The 4,266-nt window shown below is 38.6% G+C and overlaps 2 annotated features.

The window, feature by feature from the left end:
- Positions 2,408–3,215: an enhancer, noted in NCBI's record as "OCT4-NANOG-H3K27ac hESC enhancer chr5:23233668-23234475 (GRCh37/hg19 assembly coordinates)". NCBI's record gives its function as "activates a minimal SCP1, AML or CMV promoter by ChIP-STARR-seq in primed H9 embryonic stem cells {active_cell/tissue: H9 hESC(primed)}" and the evidence as "EXISTENCE:reporter gene assay evidence [ECO:0000049][PMID:30033119]".
- Positions 3,216–4,022: an enhancer, noted in NCBI's record as "OCT4-NANOG-H3K27ac hESC enhancer chr5:23234476-23235282 (GRCh37/hg19 assembly coordinates)". NCBI's record gives its function as "activates a minimal SCP1, AML or CMV promoter by ChIP-STARR-seq in naive H9 embryonic stem cells {active_cell/tissue: H9 hESC(naive)}" and the evidence as "EXISTENCE:reporter gene assay evidence [ECO:0000049][PMID:30033119]".

The following is a 4,266-nucleotide window of genomic DNA, read 5'->3' on the forward strand; positions in this document are numbered from 1 at the left end:
AAAACTCTGTTACAGAGTTTTTGTGAGTTTAAATACCCTCCATCTGGGGCACACCCTATGTAAATGAAGAGGATGAAGTAAAGTTACAAAGTCATTTACTGTGTACGCCCTATAGAGAGGATATTTCTTGTTATAGCTGAAGTGTGAATCAGCCTTATGTTCTCTGCCTCCAGATCCTATTTTCCTGCCTCATCTACCCCTGAGAGATGTGATCCCCATAAATCTTTATGGGAGGCGGAGAGACTGATTTCTGTAACTGCTTCATGCTGACTTGGGACATAGTCCTACCTATTGGGGACCACAGAACTCTCACCCTGTTCTGTCTAGTGAGGCATGGCCAGGGGTGGTATCTTCACCTGGAACTAGCTGGAACCATTGTTGTGTGATTAGCTGAAGCTTGATGATCTCTAGGTGAGAGGAAATGAACTTGGTCAAAAGATGTAGTGGGAACTTCAGAGGGTTGATACCTATGCTACCAGAAATGTTTGTTGTAAAGATTTGCAGGAGAAAGAACAAAACCTGGTTTGTTCTAGAATCTGTGTTTTCTTACAGTCTTAGCACAAGCGACTCCATTTTGGTTTGGTTTGTTGGCGCCTAGTAAATGAGCTCAGTCCACAACAATGGCCTCCCAGAATTTTGTTTAAAAAAATTCCCCCTTTTTGAACAGGTTCTCACTTAGTTGAGAGTATGAACAAAACTTAGGGCTTTAGCGCCACTCTCAGTTCCACCATTTTGGGTTTCCGGCCTCAGCACATTATTTATAGGTTATGGTGCCCTCATTGCTGCACGTTTCTTTCAGCTCCTGTTATTCCAGTTGAAGAGAGACCATATGACATTCTAGAGATGGCTGCATGCAAGCATTTAAAACCTTTGAGAGAATACAACGCACCAGGGAGACTATTATTATGATTATTGGGAGGATCATACCAAGAATTTGAAGTGTGCCCTTTACCGAAGGTTCCCATAAACCAAACCGCCTGCAATCAAATAGATCAAAGAATGAGCTAGATAAAGAGTTTACTCACTTGGCTAAGCAATTTTTTTGTCAATCCCCTACCACCAAATTTCTATAATCTTTATTTGATATATTTCTCCATAGGCCACAAGTGCCAGCAGCTGCACAGATACTTTTCTGTTTAGCTAATTCTATTATTTAGCATAACTTTCACAAGAGAATGTAAAGTTTGTTGAGTAACTGTAGCGTTTACAGTAGAATTTGCTATAAAACCTATCATGAGGGATACGTTTCTAATCATTGCTTCTTTTACTTTAAATTATGGAAAAAGGACCTAACAAATGATGCCTTTTAGAAGAGTGAAGGCCTTCTGGGAATGTTCTCTTTAACCCATGATGTGGGTTAAGAGGAGTGAACCAATGTTTTGTTTTTGACTGATTATGAGGTAACATATGTACCCTTAAAGTTTCTTACCTACATTGGGCCTTCATCTTTTAACTATCAGAGTATAAGGTAATCCATGTATAAGGCTGCCTGCCAACTCCTTCACAAATAAAAGTACACCCCATTAGTGCACATAACAGACCCCTTTTCCACTTCTCTTGTTCATAGAGGCATAAACAAAAACAAACAAACAAAAAACAACAACAACAAAATTCAAAGGTAAGATTTTCATGACAATATAAGTCTTAATCTGTGACCTTGGGAAAAGCTGTTCCCATCAAGGATGGCATCCTCTTCAAATTTCCCTGGTTAGCTTTCCCTCAAGGGTTCCAATGGGTGCACAGTTCCAAAAATGTGGAGGGACCCTTCTCAGTTTTGAGGCCATGAATCCAAAGCCCAAAGTCTTGCTGTAGTGTGGATGAAGTTTTGTTGTAGTGTGGATAGCAATGACAGTCTTTCTCTAATGTTTCCAGAAGATTTAAACCATAAAAAGCTTTCTTTACCTGTGAAAATACACTGTAGCGTAATAATTTACTGTTATAAAATCAGCCTTCTTGCATGGAAAAGCTTTTATACAACCAGAAAACATTCATTGAAAATAACAATTGAATGAAATCCTTTAATAAAATGTTTAAATGTCCCATCAGGTGACCAAATGTACCTGAAGCTTTAATTGTTTCCCAGAAATATGGTATCAAGCATTGGTTATAAACTATTTTAGTAATTGGGAAGTCACCAACCAATGTATTCAATTAGGATCATTATATCTTTTCCATGATGAGTCATGGAATTCATAACTTTTAATAATAAAAGCTTTAAGGACTCAGGAAGGACAAGGTGGCCATCCTGTTTCTCCATGCTTAATTAACATTAGACTTATATCCTCTTGGATACCAGTTGTTTTTGCAAATTAGGTGCATACCACTGAGAAGGAAATTTGGTCATTTCTGTGGTTTACAATAATTTAGCATGATAAATATAATCGTGACTGGTAGTATGTACTTAGACATTAGAATTTTAGAAATCCCATACAATTTTAGAATATATATTAGTATTAGTCACAAAAATATAAACTAAAGAAGATTGAACATCATTGTGGCAATCCCACGTACCTAAACAGGTCAAATAATCCTGCTTACCTCTTTTCTGGATGATTCAGGGGCCCTCTGATCCATCTAGAAAGCCAGGCATTAGGAAAGGCAATTTTGAAACTGAAGTTTGATTTTGGAATTCTAGATTACCATAAATTATTTATTTTACCAAAATGATGACTCAGAAATTTTAAAGAAGCAAAAAACCTTTTATAACATTTTACAAAACAACAACAACAAAAAACACATTCTACTGTTTTTACACATCTTGCATGTAAAACTGTTTCTAATAGTCTTAATTGCATGTTACAACGGCAACTCTTAGCAATTTTAACTTTAATGTAAAACCTCGTGGGTTGTGTTCTGATAAGGTTTGCCTGTTTCCAGCAAACTTTATTGTTTTCCAGCAAACAAAAAAGGGTGTGGCCAATTCCACACAACCCCAGGCCTTACCTAGCTAGAAGTGTGGTAGGAGTTAAGTTATTTTAGGCAGATAGAGAGGAAAAGGGGTCCTTGGAAAGTTTTCATTTTTAAAGCAGCTCCAGAAATGTTTGTCTAGCAGAAAAGCCCTGGCTCTTAGACCCGGGCAGACAACCTTTGATATGCAAATGCAGGCCATTAGAAACTGGGTCCACCCAACATAGCAGGGTGGTCAACCTTTAATATGCAAACGCCAGCCTTTAGAAACTGAGTCCACCCATCATGGTGATTCCCACTTTTGTCCTCTTGCCCTTGCCCCCACATGTGTCTGACAGCATGGTTGCCCCCACATAACCCCATGTGTGTAAGAACATCATGGCACCCTGCATTTCCATATTAAAAGGCTAGAGTAGGGGGGCCAGTTTTTTTCTCTGGCTACGTGAATGACATGCCTGGTCAAACCAATCCCCTGAATTCTATGCAAATCAGACACCGCCTTATCCAGCCATCTCATATAACTGGCTGGTATTCCTGAACGTGGGGTCTCCTCTCTCGCCTTTTGAGCCTCTCTCCCTCTGTCTCTGTACAGGGGAGCTTCTTCCTTCTTTCTTCTCCCTTCTATCTTGCCTGTTAAATTCTCCACTCCTTAAAACCACTCCACATGTTTTTGTGTCATTTTTATCTAATTCAACTCCAGACGAAGAAACTGGTGTTCCTCCACTCATTGGAGTGGTATCAGAAGGGAGGCAAGTTAAACAATTTTCAAAAGCCAAAGAAGCAATTTATGACCTGCAAGCATTTAGCAAACCTAATATTTGACCATAATTTAGACCATGTGTTTACATTTTGAAGACAATCCTATTTTACCAATAATCTTGAAAACTATCTTTATTTCCCAAAGATTGCTAAAGTCTTGTGAACTGACAGGCGTTACACTTTCTATTTTTCTGACAAAATATTTGAGTTAAGTTATTATTATTAAAGCAGTCAATTAAAGACTTCACAGAGGAGATTAACCAGTTTGCACAGAGAGCAAGAGGCCAGAGACTGAGTGGTTAGAAATTCTTACCCTTTTGCTGGCATGCTAGGTTTCTGGGTTCTCTCTCCCTGAGCGGTCCTGGTGACCCTGCTTGACTGTATGCAAACAAACACATTGCCATGAATTAAGAATATTCATAGATAGTTTACAAATTTTGGAAAAACTAGGCAGAGATAGAGAAATATGACTCAAATTCTACTTGTGAGAGTATACTAACCACACTTACAGCATCAGGAAGCCTAAAATCCAAAAAGTTTGCTTAGAAACTGGTGTGTTCCATTAATTCCTGCAGCCCGACAAAGGTAGCTTAGGAATGC

This window comes from Homo sapiens, chromosome 5 (assembly GCF_000001405.40).
Source record: "Homo sapiens chromosome 5, GRCh38.p14 Primary Assembly".
NCBI classification, from domain to species: domain Eukaryota; kingdom Metazoa; phylum Chordata; class Mammalia; order Primates; family Hominidae; genus Homo; species Homo sapiens.